At 38.5% G+C, this 16856-nt stretch overlaps 1 protein-coding gene across 21 annotated transcripts in view, besides 1 other annotated feature; it reads left to right on the top strand.

Moving 5' to 3' along the window:
- STK3 (serine/threonine kinase 3) overlaps positions 1–16856 on the top strand; it is a 598636-nt gene that overhangs the window by 199516 nt on the left and 382264 nt on the right. The gene's annotated exons all lie outside the window — the stretch shown is intronic.
- Positions 3611–4110: an enhancer, noted in NCBI's record as "H3K4me1 hESC enhancer chr8:99751213-99751712 (GRCh37/hg19 assembly coordinates)". NCBI's record gives its function as "activates a minimal SCP1, AML or CMV promoter by ChIP-STARR-seq in primed H9 embryonic stem cells {active_cell/tissue: H9 hESC(primed)}" and the evidence as "EXISTENCE:reporter gene assay evidence [ECO:0000049][PMID:30033119]".

Below are 16856 nucleotides of genomic sequence, written 5' to 3'. Positions count from 1 at the left end.
ATTTCTTTGTATCCTCTTTTATTTCATTGAGCAGTGGTTTGTAGTTCTCCTTGAAGAGGTCCTTCACGTCCCTTGTAAGTTGGATTCCTAGGTATTTTATTCTCTTTGAAGCAATTGTGAATGGGAATTCACTCATGATTTGGCTCTCTGTTTGTCTGTTATTGGTGTATAAGAATGCTTGTGATTTTTGTACATTGATTTTGTATCCTGAGACTTTGCTGAAGTTGCTTATCAGCTTAAGGAGATTTTGGGCTAAGACAATGGGGTTTTCTAGATATCCAATCATGTCATCTGCAAACAGGGACAATTTGCCTTCCTCTTTTCCTAATTGAATACCCTTGATTTCCTTCTCCTGCCTAATTGCCCTGGCCAGAACTTCCAACACTGTGTTGAATAGGAGTGGTGAGAGGGCATCCCTGTCTTGTGCCAGTTTTCAAAGGGAATGCTTCCAGTTTTTGCCCATTCAGTATGATATTGGCTGTGGGTTTGTCATAGATAGCTCTTATTATTTTGAGATATGTCCCATCGATACATAATTTATTGAGAGTTTTTAGCATGAAGCGTTGTTGAATTTTGTCAAAGGCCTTTTCTGCATCTATTGAGATAATCATATGGTTTTTGTCGTTGGTTCTGTTTACGTGATGGATTACGTTTATTGATTTGCGTATGTTGAACCAGCCTTGCATCCCAGGGATGAATCCCACTTGGTCATGGTGGATAAGCTTTTTGATGTGCTGCTGGATTCGTTTTGCCAGTATTTTATTGAGCATTTTTGCATCAACGTTCATCAAGGATATTGGTCTAAAATTCTCTTTTTTGGTTGTGTTTCTGCCCGGCTTTGGTATCAGGATGATGCTGGCCTCATAAAATGAGTTTGGGAGAATTCCCTCTTTTTCTATTGATTGGAATAGTTTCAGAAGGAATGGTACCAGTTCCTCCTTGTACCTCTGGTAGAATTCGGCTGTGAATCCATCTGGTCCTGGACTCTTTTTGGTTGGTAAGCTATTGATTATTGCCACAATTTCAGAGCCTGTTATTGTTCTATTCAGAGATTCAACTTCTTCCTGGTTTAGTCTTGGGAGGGTGTATGTGTCGAGGAATTTATCCATTTCTTCTAGATTTTCTAGTTTATTTGCGTAGAGGTGTTTGTAGTATTCTCTGATGGTAGTTTGTATTTCTGTGGGATCGGTCGTGATATCCCCTTTATCATTTTTTATTGCTTCTATTTGATTCTTCTCTCTTTTCTTCATTAGTCTTGCTAGCAGTCTATCAATTTTGATGATCCTTTCAAAAAACCAGCTCCTGGATTCATTAGTCTTTTGTGTCTCTATTTCCTTCAGTTCTGGTTCGATTTTAGTTATTTCTTGCCTTCTGCTAGCTTTTGAATGTGTTTGCTCTTGCTTTTCTAGTTCTTTTAATTGTGATGTTAGGGTGTCAATTTTGGATCTTTCCTGCTTTCTCTTGTGGGCATTTAGTGCTATAAATTTCCCTCTACACACTGCTTTGAATGTGTCCCAGCGATTCTGGTATGTTGTGTCTTTGTTCTCATTGGTTTTAAAGACCATCTTTATTTCTGCCTTCGTTTCATTATGTACCCAGTAGTCATTCAGGAGCAGGTTGTTCAGTTTCCATGTAGTTGAGTGGTTTTGAGTGAGTGTCTTAATCCTGAGTTCTAGTTTGATTGTACTGTGGTCTGAGAGACAGTTTGTTATAATTTCTGATCTTTTACATTTGCTGAGGAGAGCTTTACTTCCAACTATGTGGTCAATTTTGGAACAGGTGTGGTGTGGTGCTGAAAAAAATGTATATTCTGTTGATTTGGGGTGGAGAGTTCTGTAGATGTCTATTAGGTCCACTTGGTACACAGCTGAGTTCAATTCCTGGATATCCTTGTTAACTTTCTGTCTGGTTGATCTGTCTAATGTTGACAGTGGGGTGTTAAAGTCTCCCATTATTATTGTGTGGGAGTCTAAGTCTCTATGTAGGTCAGTCAGGACTTGCTTTATGAATCTGGGTGCTCCTGTATTGGGTGCATATATGTTTAGGATAGTTAGCTCTTCTTGTTGAATTGATCCCTCTACCATTATGTAATGGCCTTCTTTGTCTCTTTTGATCTTTGTTGGTTTAAAGTCTGTTTTATCAGAGACTAGGATTGCAACCCCTGCCTTTTTTTGTTTTCCATTTGCTTGGTAGATCTTCCTCCATCCTTTTATTTTGAGCCTTTGTGTGTCTCTGCTTGTGAGATGGGTTTCCTGAATACAGCACACTGATGGGTCTTGACTCTTTATCCAATTTGCCAGTCTGTATCTTTTAATTGGAGCATTTAGTCCATTTACATTTAAAGTTAATATTGTTATATGTGAATTTGATCCTGTCATTATGATGTTAGCTGGTTATTTTGCTCATTAGTTGATACCGTTTCTTCCTAGCCTCGATGGTCTTTACAATTTGGCATGATTTTGCAGTGGCTGGTACCGGTTGTTCCTTTCCATGTTTATTGCTTCCTTCAGGAGCTCTTTTAGGGCACGCCTGGTGGTGACAAAATCTCTCAGCCTTTGCTTGTCTGTTAAGTATTTTATTTCTCCTTCACTTATGAAGCTTAGTTTGGCTGGATATGAAATTCTGGTTTAAAAATTCTTTTCTTTAATAATCTTGAATATTGGCCCCCACTGTCTTCTGGCTTGTAGAGTTTCTGCTGAGAGATCAGCTGTTAGTCTGATGGGCTTCCCTTTGTGGGTAACCCGACCTTTCTCTCTGGCTGCCCTTAACATTTTTTCCTTCATTTTAACTTTGGTGAATCTGACAATTATGTGTCTTGGAGTTGCTCTTCTCGAGGAGTATCTTTGTGGCGTTCTCTGTATTTCCTGAATCTGAATGTTGGCCTGCCTTGCTAGATTGGGGAAGTTCTCCTGGATAATATCCTGCAGAGTGTTTTCCAACTTGGTTCCATTCTCCCCGTCACTTTCAGGTACACCAGTGAGACGAAGATCTGGTCTTTTCACATAGTCCCATATTTCTTGGAGGCTTTGTTCATTTCTTTTTGTTCTTTTTCTCTAAACTTCCCTTCTCGCTTCATTTCATTTATTTCGTCTTCCATCACTGATACCCTTTCTTCCAGTTGATCGCATCGGCTCCTGAGGCTTCTGCATTCTTCACGTAGTTCTCGAGCCTTGGCTTTCAGCTCCATCAGCTCCTTTAAGCACTTCTCTGTATTGGTTATTCTAGTTATACATTCGTCTAAATTTTTTTCAAAGTTTTCAACTTCTTTGCCTTTGGTTTGAATTTCCTCCTGTAGCTTGGAGTAGTTTGATTGTCTGAAGCCTTCTTCTCTCAACTCGTCAAAGTCATTCTCCGTCCAGCTTTGTTCCGTTGCTGGTGAGGAGCTGCGTTCCTTTGGAGGAGGAGAGGCACTCTGCTTTTTAGAGTTTCCAGTTTTTCTGCTCTGTTTTTTCCCCATCTTTGTGGTTTTATCTACTTTTGGTCTTTGATGATGGTGATGTACAGATGGGTTTTTGGTGTGGATGTCCTTTCTGTTTGTTAGTTTTCCTTCTAACAGACAGGACCCTCAGCTGCAGGTGTGTTGGAGTTTGCTAGAGGTCCACTACAGACTCTGTTTGCCTGGGTACCAGCAGCGGTGGCTGCAGAACAGCGGATTTTCATGAACCGCGAATGCTGCTGTCTGATCGTTCCTCTGGAAGTTTTGTCTCAGAGGAGTACCCGGCCGTGTGAGGTGTCAGTCTGCCCCTACTTGGGGGTGCCTCCCAGTTAGGCTGCTCCAGGGTCAGGGGTCAGGGACCCACTTGAGGAGGCAGTCTGCCCGTTCTCAGATCTCCAGCTGCGTGCTGGGAGAACCACTGCTGTCTTCAAAGCTGTTCAGACAGGGACATTTAAGTCTGCAGAGGTTACTGCTGTCTTTTTGTTTGTCTGTGCCCTGCCCCCAGAGGTGGAGCCTACAGAGGCAGGCAGGCCTCCTTGAGCTGTGGTGGGCTCCACCCAGTTGGAGCTTCCCGGCTGCTTTGTTTACCTAAGCAAGCTTGGGCAATGGCGGGCGCCCCTCCCCCAGCCTCGCCGCTGCCTTGCAGTTTGATCTCAGACTGCTGTGCTAGCAATCAGTGAGACTCCTTGGGCGTAGGACCCTCCGAGCCAGGTGTGGGATATAATCTCCTGGTGAACCGTTTTTTAAGCGCGTCGGAAAAGCGCAGTATTCGGGTGGGAGTGACCCGATTTTCCAGGTGCCCTCTGTCACCCCTTTCTTTGACTAGGAAAGGGAACTCCCTGAACCCCTTGCGCTTCCCGAGTGAGGCAATGCCTCGCCCTGCTTAGGCTCGCACACGGTGCGCTGCACCCACTGTCCTGCGCCCACTGTCTGGCACTCTCTAGTGAGATGAACCTGGTACCTCAGATGGAAATGCAGAAATCACCCGTCTTCTGCGTCGCTCACGCTGGGAGCTGTAGACCAGAGCTGTTCCTATTCAGCCATCTTGGCTCCCGGATCCAGAAATATGTTCTTAATTATATGGTGGCGTGCTTGATGTTTGGGATGCAATTCCCTTGTCTTTGTTTTCCTTGATCTCTCTTATAAGTTTTATTTATTTATTTATTTTATTTTTTATTTTATTTTGAGTCGGAGTTTCGTTCTTGTTCCCCAGGCTGGAGTGCAATGGCGTGATCTTGGCTCACTGCAACTTCCGCCTCCCAGATTCAAGTGATTCTTGTGCCTCATCCTCCCTAGTAGCTGGGATTATAAGCACCCACTATCACACCCAGCTAATTTTTATATTTTTAGTAGAGATAGGGTTTCGCCACGTTGGCCAGGCTGGTCTGGAACTCCTGACGTGGGGTGATCCACCCGGTCATCTAAAGTGTTGAGATTAGAGGCATGAGCCACCGTGTCTGGCCTCACATAAGTTTTAGAATAAGTTGTCAAGCTCCACAAAAAGTCTTGCTGGGTTTGTGATTGGAATTACATTTAACTCATAATTTGTGTTAACTAATATTTTCCAATGCATGATCATAGAATATCTTTGTGTTCAGTTCTTCTTTTTTGTATTTAAATGCATTTTTAAATCCTCTTGAAAATCATTCGGCCGGGTGCGGTGGCTCACGCCTGTAATCCTGGCACTTCTGGAGGCCAAGGCAGGTGGATCACCTGAGGTCAGGAGTTTGAGACCAGCCTGGCCAACACGGCAAAACTCTGTCTCTACTAAAAATACAAAAAAATTAGCTGGGTGTGCTGGCAGGTGCCTATAATCCCAGCTACTCTGGAGGCTGAGGCAGGAGAATCTCTTGAACCTGCGGGGCAGAGGTTGCAATGAGCTGAGATTGCGCCACTGCAGTCTAGCCTAGGCGAAAGAGTGAAACTCCATCTAAAAAAAAAAGAAAAAGAAAATTATATACGTTTTAAATTTGATTTGCTTCTAGGAGCTTTGTCATTTTTACTGCTAATGTGAATGATCTTTTGTTGCTGTTATATTTTCTAGTCGGCTAATGCTAGTATCTAAGAATGCTGTATCTCATATATTTTTGTTATTCACCATAGCAGTTTTTACCGTTGTTACTCCTCTGACCCTGTTCCTTGATTTTACTAATTAGTCATTTGCTTATTTATTTTCTATTCATGTACCTTTTTTGTAATCCAGTTAATAATCCTGTGTGACATTTTGTATTATTCTTGCCTAGTACCCCATTTATTTCTCTTAATCTCTTTTTAGGAGTTTTATCTTGTCCTTGAAACTCATGCTTTATGTTTGGGGCCTTTTCCTTGGAGTGAGTATCTCAGATACTGGTTTACTCATTTGCTTGCATCTCTTTTTACTCTTGTTCATTTGGGTATGTCAGGTAGAGCCCTTGAATTGACTTTTCTTATTATTATATTCACTTAAATGAATTCATGTATGATCTGTGGATGTAAAACTTTATTGACAGCTTTAACCTTTATAAATCTAAAAAAAGATATAAAAACATGATTACTGAAATTGTTTTGTGCTTATCTTTAAATTGTTAATAAAAACTATAAAATATAGGTTGAGAACAAGGTTGGATTGGTGCTCAAGTGGACCCAGATGGATGTTGTTGTGACAGCATAATCCTGTTCTGATGTGAGACCTTAACTTTATAATTCATTTGATTATGTATATACTACATATATTAACCACATTAATAGTAAGCTTTCTCAGAGTAATGGACAGTTTAGATTACATTATTAGAAACTTTCTGGATATTGTCTATGTATAATTTGCATATTCTATTTGTACATATTTATATATAGTGAGCTTCATTTATTATAGAGAAGAAACAAAATTATGTGATGATTTAGGGAGTTGACAATAGATTCTAAATTTTTAATTTGTTTTAAGAGTAGTAAGTCTTGGAGAACCACCTAAGTAACATATTTATTTTGTGTGTGGAATTGTGCTTGTCTTTGAAAGAAATCTTATTAGGGGTAAAGCGTTCTTGATTCTGAATTATTGACTATTGTCTATTTTTGAACAAATATTTCCTTGAAAATTGAAAATAAAAGGCACAGGAAAGAGCAAGTCCAATTAAGTTACATGTCTTTTAAATAAAACATTTAAGTTCAAATTTTTTAGCCTGATGTATAAACAGAGTTTATGTATTACCTCCTTTCTTCCTGTACAGTTTCATACCTTGTCACTGTTTTATCAGGTACTTTCCAGTTCAGTGTTACAATGAGAACTGGCTCCTAGAATAAGAACTGGCTTCATATTTTGGTGATTATATGTATGCCCTTGCCTCATCCTCTGCACTTCTTTTAGTGTTATCCCTACCCCCAGTCTTTGCCTAGTGTATTTGCATCCATGAAGGCCCAGCTGAAAATGTTACCTCTTATTTGAAAATTTGCTTATTTTCTCAGGTAGTTTGTTGTCTATTTAGTAATTCATTGATTAATTAATTGGGTGTTTATTGCATATTCACTCTTACATAAAGAAAGCACAATAAATGCTATTTTTACTGTGATGATGATGTTTATTTTGACTATTAGGTAGGCTATCTTTTCATATTTGTATTGGCTGTTTCATGTTCTTTTTGTGCCTGTTCTTTGCTGTTTGTTGTTTCTGTTGGCCTTTTTTTTATGTTTTATTGCTTGACAGTTTGCTAATAGTTATATGAGTACTTCACATATTTTAAAAGTCATAAAACAAATTATCTGATTGTCAGCATAGATATTAAAGAAGGACCTTCAAAATCTGATCTATACTTTTCCTTTGGGAAACATGTAGGAAAAGATGAAGGCATAGAATTAAGTTGTGGGTTAATTAGACATATTCCAGTGATTGTAACTGAGTCTGAGTTGTAAAGGGTAGAGATTTTGTCTATTTAAGTGCTGATTCTTACTCAACATGGGCCAGATCACAGAGTTGGCACTTGAGCTGGTAACGAATTGTGGTAATTAATGGTAGTGGTACTAGAATTAGGAAAAAGGTAAAACTCCTGTATTCTAATGGGTGATAAAAGTTTCTCTGACTCTTCTGGTTACATTATGAGTAAAAATCACTGTAAGATTAGTATTCATTGAGTCCTTTTGGTTTTTAAGTATTTGGGGCTCTATAAAATAGTATATGTGACTTAAATTTCTGATTTTTGTGATCAGACTCACAAACACAGCTCAAGTCCTCGTATCATTCACATTCAGTAACTGATTTTTTCACAGTATTTTAAACTATCTTTTAAGTTTGATGAAACTTCTTTGTAGATAACCCAGTCATGGTATCCTATATATGGGAGTTACATTTAATTAGTCAGCTTTTAGTGTTTGGGAGAAGAGTAGTTGCAGTTGCCCAGGAGTTTTAATATATTAATCTTGAAATATTCCAAGTGCCTAGAATAGCTTTTGGCACCTACAAGCCTTTGATAAATGTTGAGCTGAAACAGCCAATTTTTTGGCTTCTTGTCCTGTGAATATAAAATTACCCTACCTCTTTATTCAGTGTTATATTTTTGTGGATAAGTTATAATTTGCATGGCTACTATTCGGTATTAATAATGTGGATTGCTGAACAAATATGGTCATATACCAAAGACAAGCCATAAAAAGTATGCTTACTAGTAACCTTGGCATGTGTGAAATACCAGAATGTTTCATTAGTTCCCTGATTTTTACAAAAGTTATATATGTGTCTGTTTAATTTTTTGCTTAATTTTAAAAATGTGTATCTTGATAATTTTAACCATAGGCCTTCTGTGACTCATGAAAAAGCTTTTTGTTGTTGTTTGTGTAAGGTAATATGAGCTTTTTTTTTTTGAGGAGTCAAGTGTTTTCAAGTTTTAAAAGAATAAAAACTTTAGTATATTTGTGGTAGTAAGTTTTGAAGGTTTCCCATGAAGAAATTTTTTAAAAACCAATTTATATTATATTAAATGCCGTTAAACATCTCGAAACATTTATGCATTTCAAACATATACTGCAGAGTAGAAATGCATAACTCTGTGAAATTGAAGCTCTTAAAAGATAGGTTAGATTTTTGATTAGAGGCTTTCCAAATGATCTTTACATAATTGTAAAGCTATGTCTTGACATATGGAAGAAATAGAGTCTATATTTTGGATGTTTATTGTATACTTAAAAACATTCTAAGAAAATGCCTAAGGTTATTCTTTCCCATTTAGGCCCATTTTTTGATTTGACTACTTGTTTTCATTCAACCTAGTATAGGAGAAACGGCATGAACCCAGGCTTTCAGCAATATGGGTTTTAGTTTTGGTTCTTCTACAGACTAGTCTTGTGGTCTGTAGCAAATCATTCAACTGACAAGGACTTCAGTGTCCTCATCTGTTAAGTAATAAGTAACATTTGCCTAGTGCTTTACATTTTACTTGTCAGTTGATATGGTTTAGCTCTACGTTCCCACCCAAATCTCATGTTGAATTGTAATCCCCAGTGTTCGGGGAGGGACCTGGTGGGAGGTGATTGGATCATGGAGGTGGATTGGAGGTGATTGGATCATGGGTGCAGATTTCCCCCGGCTGTTCTTGTGATAGTGAGTTCTCATGAGAGTGTGTAGCACTTCCCCCTTCATCCTCTCTCCCGCTGTGCCATGAGAATTCGGTGTTTGCTTCCCCTTTGCCCTTCCGTCATGATTGTGAGTCTCCATGGCCTCCCCAGCCATGCCTCCTGTACAGCCTGTGGAACTGTGAGTCAATCAAATCTCTTTTCTTCTAAATTACCCAGTCTCAGGTAGTTCTTTATAGCAGTGTGAGAGTGGATGAATACAGCAGTTTTATTTACATTTTGGTTGAATGGAAAGGTTCAAAACACATTTATTGATTTAGGCCCAGTGCTGTTCACTAGAAGTACAAATAACTAATAAATGTTGCTGTCTTGCATTCTTCACACACTAGATGAGGTAATAGGTATGTAAAAAGCCAAATTCTGTTTTGCAAAGAGTTAGAGTTCTTTAGGAGGAAAAAAGGAGATGCACATAGCCTAACAATTTAGAAAAAGTTTCATTGGTGAGAGAATCCGTTAGCACAGTGGTCCTCGACCTTTTTGGCACCAGGGACTGGTTTCATGGAAGACAATTTTTCTACGGATGGGGGTGATAGTTTCAGGATGAAACTGTTCCACTTCAGATCATCAGGTATTAGATTCTCATAAGGAGTGCATAACCTAGATTCCTTGCATGTGCAGTTCACAATAGGGTTTATTCTCCTATGAGAATCTAATGCTGCTGCTGATCTGACAGGAGGAGGTGGAGCTCAGGCAGTAATGCTTGCCCACCCGCCACTCACCTGCTGCTATGTGGCCCAGTTCCCAACGGGCCATGGACCAGTACCCAGGGGTTGGGGACTCCTGCTTTAGCAGATTCTTGAAAGAATAGGAGTTATTGAATATAAGCTTCAAAAGGGCAGGTGTTTTTCTTTTTTCGTTCACTGTTTTATCTTTAGCTCCTAGGATGGGTGCTCAGTAAATATTGAGAGAGTGAATGAATAAATGAGTAAGTCAGAGAAGAGAGGGCAAAGAACATCTTGGAAGAGGAAACAATGATATGCTCAAATTTTATTTCTGTCTCTAAATATCCAGTGTTGTACCCCTAGGTTACCCAAAGAAGAATGTTCCCAGCATGTGGTCTAAATGGATTTACTTTTCTCACAATTAATTACTCAAAATCATTGCCACATTTTAGGTTGATGGCTCTATGTTAGGATCATGTTGTTATATAATTTTCTGTTTCTGGGAGTTTTTTCTTTTTTTGTTATTTTGAAAAAAGCAATGTATGCATCTTTTATCCCTTTGGTAATATCTTTGAGCTTCTTACTCAGTGTATTTATTTCCTGAAATGTATGTGATTCTTCTTTGAGATTTCTTTGGAGCTTCCTGATTTCTTGTTCTAATGTGGACTTATTGCTTTGAGGTCTGTTTTATAGCCGTATCCTTAGAATTTCTTTTCACTTGACTCTTGGGTTAGTGCCACCATTAAAAAAAGGATATTTCCTGTTTTCTTGGTTTTTACCTTTGTTTTGTATTCTTCCTAAACTGTCTTCTTCATGATACAAGAATAAGGGGTCAATTATTATTTGAGCCTTTGCATATCTGAAAATGTCTTTATTTTGCTTTTATGCTTGGTTGATAGCCTACGTAGAATTTTACAGTGAAAATAATTTTCTCTCAGAGCTTTGAGACTTTCCTCCATTTATCTTCTAACATCTAGTGTTGCTAATGGCTGTCAGAGTCTTACTTATTTGTAGGTTTTTTCCCCCTCTGGAAATTTCTGGAGTTTTCTTTTTATCTTGACGTTTCTGATATTTCACAAGAATGTGCCTAGATGTGAGTCCATTTTATTAGTTATGCTCAGCATTCAGTAGTTCCTTTTAATATATAAACAATTGTCTGTCTTCAGCTTTGGAAAATTTCTATTTTCTTTATTGAAAGGTTGAATCTCCTGAATTTGTTTTTCCTCTTAGATTATCCGTCTCTTTTTGTCTTTTTGCCTTTTGGAGGAGGCGGGGTGCTTTATTTTGCTTTATTTTCTGACTTTTCTAACTGAACTTTTTATTTTAGCAGTTATATTTTAATTACAAGAACTCTTTTGATTATTCCTTTTTCATAACATATTGATGCTGACATGGATAGAAAAGCTTTTGAAATTGCTTTAAGAATAATACGTTTTTTAAATAAATGCTATTGTCTGTTTCCTGAATCATTTCTGTTTCTTCTAGGGTTATGGATTTCCTTGTTTTATTTATTCTGGTCTTGCCCTTGGGACTGGAAGGCTGCTCAGGTCTCACCGTAAGCACTGGGACAATGCCTTTTGACTGACAGGCATAATATTAGGGTGAATGGGTTGGGAGCTAGCTTTTAAGGGAAAGGGCCTACAACAGGTTTTTATTGAATTTTTTTTTTTTTTTTTTTTGAGACGGAGTCTCACTCTGTCGCCCAGGCTGGAGTGCAGTGGCGCCATCTCGGCTTACTGCAAGCTCTGCCTCCCGGGTTCACACCATTCTCCTGCCTCAGCCTCCCGAGTAGCTGGGACTACAGGCTACTGCCACCACGCCTGGCTAATTTTTTGGTATTGTTTTTAGTAGAGACGGAGTTTCATCATGTTAGCCAGGATGGTCTTGATCTCCTGACCTCGTGATCCTCCCACCTCGGCCTCCCAAAGTGCTAGGATTGCAGGCGTGAGCCACTGCGCCCGGCCCCCTGAATTTCTTTAGAGAGGAACCCTTTCCCCTTTTTTTTGATCTGGGGATAAATGCCAGAATTCATGTAATCTGCATGTACATGGGAGCAGGGGCAGACTGGGGTCAAGGAGCCAACTCTTGTTCCATTTTCTTCTTTACAGCTTCCGTGAAAAAGTGAACTCCCTTTCCCTCTTGCTCTCCCTACCCTATGGTTCTAAGCTTGGAGTCCTTCTGGGGTTTACTTGGTAGATCACTTCTTTGTCTGCTCTTGGTTATGACCTTCTCCATAGAAATGCTTCCAAATTTATTGTACTCACTTGTGCCTTATATATACTCTATATGCTATCATACTCTTAGGAATTTAAATTAGTACAACTACTTCAAAGAGTAATTTGATAATCTCCTGTCGTTGAATATGTATGTACTCTAGGCTCTATCCAGTGGTTTTCCTCCTCCTTCTGTACTTTTGAGAAATCTTGGCACAATTGTATAGTGGGGCCTGTGCAAGAGTGTTGTCACAACAGAAAACTATTAATAGAAGCATATTTAAATGTCGATCAGCGTTAGTCCCTGGGTTAAAGGATGGTTGTAGTTCCCTCAGTCTTCACACTTTGTAGCTCTTTCGTGAAGCCAAACTCTGGGAGTAGTATTCTGATTCAAGAGTACCCAGCATCCAGCTGTATAGATGAGAATTACATTAAAATACCACACAGGTGTTTTTTTTTTTTTTTTTTTTTTTGAGACGGAGTCTTGCCCTGTTGTTCAGGCTGGAGTGCAGTGGCACTATCTTGGCCCACTGCAACCTCTGCTTCCCATGTTCAAGCAGTTCTCGTGCCTCAGCCTCCCGGGTAGCTGGGATTACAGGCATGCACCACTATGCCTGGCTAATTTTCTATTTTTAGTAGAGATGGGGTTTCACCATGTGGCCAGGCTGGTCTTGAACTCCTGACCTCAGGTGATCCACCCACCTCGGCCTCGCAAAGTGCTGGGATTACAGATATGAGCCACCACACCTGGCCTTTATGTCTTAAAAGTTGTATAAACATTCAGTTTGATATATAAGAGACATTTTCACTATATACCTTTATCAGGATGAGATCTATTTCTGTAATATTGGGTGGGTGTGAGGGAACACAAAATAATGGAGAAGAAATTCCAGACTGAAGATAGCAACTCTTAAATGATTTGTATATTTTCTTGAAGGCTGGTGGTGGACTTGTTTTATATTGAAAATAATTGAGAAAGTCCAGTTTTCTTTAGTTACCAGTGTAAGGGCACATTAAGACTATTCTGCTTGGTAAATTCTCACTGTTACAGTTTTAGAACAATGGTTCTCAACTCCAGTGACAGACATTTGGTAGATAAAATAACAACAGAAATATGTATTACTTTTATGTGCCAGGTACTTTTCTAAATACATTATGTATATTATGGCATTTAATCCTCATGAGGATTGGAGAACTCTATGAGGTAAGAACTATTAATGACCCATTTTCCAGATGAGAAATGGAAACATATGGAGGTTAAGTAGTGATATGGAAAGAAAGGATTGGAATTATAGCTGAAGACTAGAATTGAGCTGAGAACATGAAATGTGGAGCCAGACTGCCAGGATTTGAATCCTGGCTCTGCTACATACTACCTCTCTGAACTTGGGCAAGTTTTTAAACTTCTCTGTGACTTAATTTCTTCATCTGATATATGGGACAAGATATGAGTTGTTATAAAGATTACATGTATTTAAAGAATAACACCTGGCACATAAGTGGCCCTATATATATTTGCTTTTGACATTGTCATCCTTATCCTATCATCTCACTTAGGTAGATAAAAGTGTCTTTGCATTTTGGACATGATCATCTACCAGATGTATTTGGGTAGAAGAATGCAGAGAACTATAGAACCAAGGATAGAATCTTAGTATTCACCATTGGTACTTTGGTACTTTGAATTATTGTTGTTAATGAAGAAAGTATACATTCCATAACATAGACCTCACATTTTTAGGTACAGTGTTAGTTTCTTTAATAGAATCAAACGGTGGTGGCTGGGCGAGGTGGCTCACACCTGTAATCCCAGCACTTTGGGAGGCTGAGGCGGGGAGATCACTTGGGCTCAGGAGTTTGAGACCAACCTGGCTGACATAGAGAAACCCCGTCTCTACTAAAAATACAAAAATTGGCCTGGTGTGTTGGCATGCGCCTGTAATCCTAGCTGCCGGGAGACTGAGGCATGAGAATCACTTGAACCCAGGAGGCAGAGGTTGCAGTGAGCCTAGATCTCGCCACTGCACTCCAGCATGGGTGACAGAGTGAGACTCCACCTCAATAAACATATAAATACATAAATAACCAAATAACCAAATAAATAAAAGAGTCAAGCAGTGGCTATTCAAAATATACTAGCATATTTTATCCAAGTGCCCTTAGAATCAATACCTTGCATGTAATAGCCTTTATGGTAAACATTTGGTTTGTTATATTTTAAAAATATGTATATGTTCTGCCTTGATGTTAAGTGCTTCTTCAAACTTTTTTTTCTTGGTAAGGGCATATCAAGTTTGCATTATTGATTATTAAGATTAATTTGGAGTTTAAAAGCTTGATATGTCATTGTTAATAGTAGACATCTTTTTGATATGTGTGGATTTCTGTTCAATAAAGTGCTCTTTGGGGTTTATATTTACCTTTGTGTTATTAGATTAATTCATGTTTGACTTTCCTAATCACTTTGTTGCATGTTCCTCCTTTGTGTAATAGATACTGGTTCATACTGGATTTACAACTCCATATATATTGAGTGCTTTTCTGTTGTCTTCTGATCTCTTTTTCAGGAATCTTTTCATGTGGGAAAGGATTTTAAAATGTGTACCCACTGACCATTTTCACAGTAGAGTATCAGTTCTCTTTCTCTGCAGATCAAGGGATTATAAGCAGCTTGTATATATATATATTTACATATGGTGTAAGTAGTGAAAGCTTTCATTTTGAATCACTAGTTGTGGGGCTTTGTGATAGATTATTAATCTTTTTTTTCCTTGCCAGACATGTGCAATCCAGATTTCATGAAAGACAACCTCTCTCTGCCCTCTCGAATAATGGTTAAAATATTCTAGTTATTTTTCCTAATGTATGTACTTTGTGTTGAACAGAAGATTTGTGTTTTTCTGGACAAATTCCATAACTTTTTTTATTGTTTATAACCTTGGATATTTTATATTTTCAAGTCTCTTCTTTAGGGGGGTGGAATGAAATAGATTTGTGAGGGTAGAAGGGAGTTAACTGAACAGCTGTGCTGTTTTTCCCAGAGTATTTTCCTCATCCAGGATACCTGGGAGCCCCAATTTAATGTGTGTATTCTTTATCCTAGGAGAGGAGGAGGGGGCAGGGAGAAATTTTGGTTGTTAAGAAGTTGGAATATGAAGCTTGATGAATGATCAGATAAAATCTTACATGTAAGCTTAAGTATTACTTTTGAGATTTAAGTATTTCAGAAATTGCTACATATTCACCAAGTTTCTCGAAACCATTGATTTTTCTGTAAAGGGTTTTGGTAACTATTGTGTGAGTTGATTATGCCATAAAAATGAATGGAAACTGAAACATCTGAGAGTTCCGTAAAATGAGAAATCAAATGCAAATGAATACAATGACAAACTAGCTAGGGGAGGTGCTAGTAGGAAAATGAAGGCAGCAGGAGACTTTAAAAAAATGACTGTGCATGTTCCTTTTAAAAAATATGTTTATTCTACTTTTCTTTCCGCCAATTATTGTATCCCTTTTTTTGATGGGCCAGAAAGTAGAAAATAGATCAGACATCTAAAGCTGTTATACATCTGGAATAACCTCTAGCATTTCTGGAGTTAGTCAGTGGTTTGTGCTTTACACAAACCTCTTTTCCAAGAACTTCTCCTGTTTGGTATTTACTTCAAGTTTACTGAATCAGTTTCAACTTTTGGTTATAAGTTACAGAAAACCCAGCCTAAGCCAGCTCAAGCCAAAGAGGGAATTTATTTGTTCACATAACCCTTGCTCATTGCAAAGTTAGTTTGTGCATGGCTTGATTCAGGGTGAGAGGAATTACTTGAATTCATGTTTTTGTTCTGATACCTCTTTCTTGGCCTCACTCACACAAGCTCTTCCCTCAGTTACAAGATGTCTGCCAGCAGTTCCCTGGGTTATATCTTTCTAGTTGAAATCCAGCAGAAAAGAGTGATAATCTTGTGCCTCTGCGTGGGTCATGTGCCCTTCTCTGAGCAAATCATTGTGGCCATTACAATGTGATTTAGTAATTGACTTAGACCTAGGTCATATGTTCAATCTGGAGCTAGGGTAGACTTGACTACCAGAAATACATGGTCTGAGAATGGAGAAGTAGTGATTTCCTAGAGGGAAATCAGAATATGTTTAGCAGGAGAAGAGCAAATGAGTGCTAGACTGGCAAAAAATAATAGATGTTTCTATATATTTACTAAACTTCAAAACACACCAGGAATAAAGGACAATAATTTAAAAACTCTAAAATAGCTCACAAAATGAATCTTAAACTGTGGAAGATACATCTGGTGACATTGAGTCAAAGCTTTTGGGTCCCATCTCTTTTTTCCTTCTGTCACAGTAAGGGACAGTAAGGTTGATGTTTCTCAAGGAGCCTGTTCCTGCTAGGTCAGCAGTAAATGTTTGCTAAAGGATTTTCCTGGAAAGTACTCAGTGGAAAGACCCATGGTTCTCTTTAGTCCAGGATGGCTTGATCCTGGTGTTATTTCTGGTGTCCCTGGCCCGTTCTTACAAGGATTTTCTGACTCTGAGTGGGTACTAATGATCAGTGCTGTACTAGAATCTTAGGAGAATGAGTTCTTTTGTGTAGAAAGTGATACTTTTTGCTCCTTATTTCGGGTGTCCCATGGAGTGAGTATGAGTTCTGAGTGTACTTCACACTTGCCTCTTAAAGTTCTAAGCCACAACATTAACAGGATATGCATTGTGGGATTAGACCATTAAAATTTTCATGGCAGTCATGTGCTGCCACATTGTAATCTCTGATTAAATACAGCATACACATCACGCTTCATTACATCTTTTCTAAATCTTTTGATTGAATTATAAACACTTTATGATTTTTCCACATTATAATATATAGTCCCCTACATAGACTATCCCTTCTACCTTAACTAAGTAAATTAAGTTTACAAAGGTATTTCCTTGGCTTCCCTTATT

Source organism: Homo sapiens, chromosome 8 (genome assembly GCF_000001405.40).
Source record: "Homo sapiens chromosome 8, GRCh38.p14 Primary Assembly".
NCBI lineage: Eukaryota > Metazoa > Chordata > Mammalia > Primates > Hominidae > Homo > Homo sapiens.
Note: the sequence above shows the minus strand (reverse complement) of the source record. Positions and strands in the feature narration are given on the sequence as shown.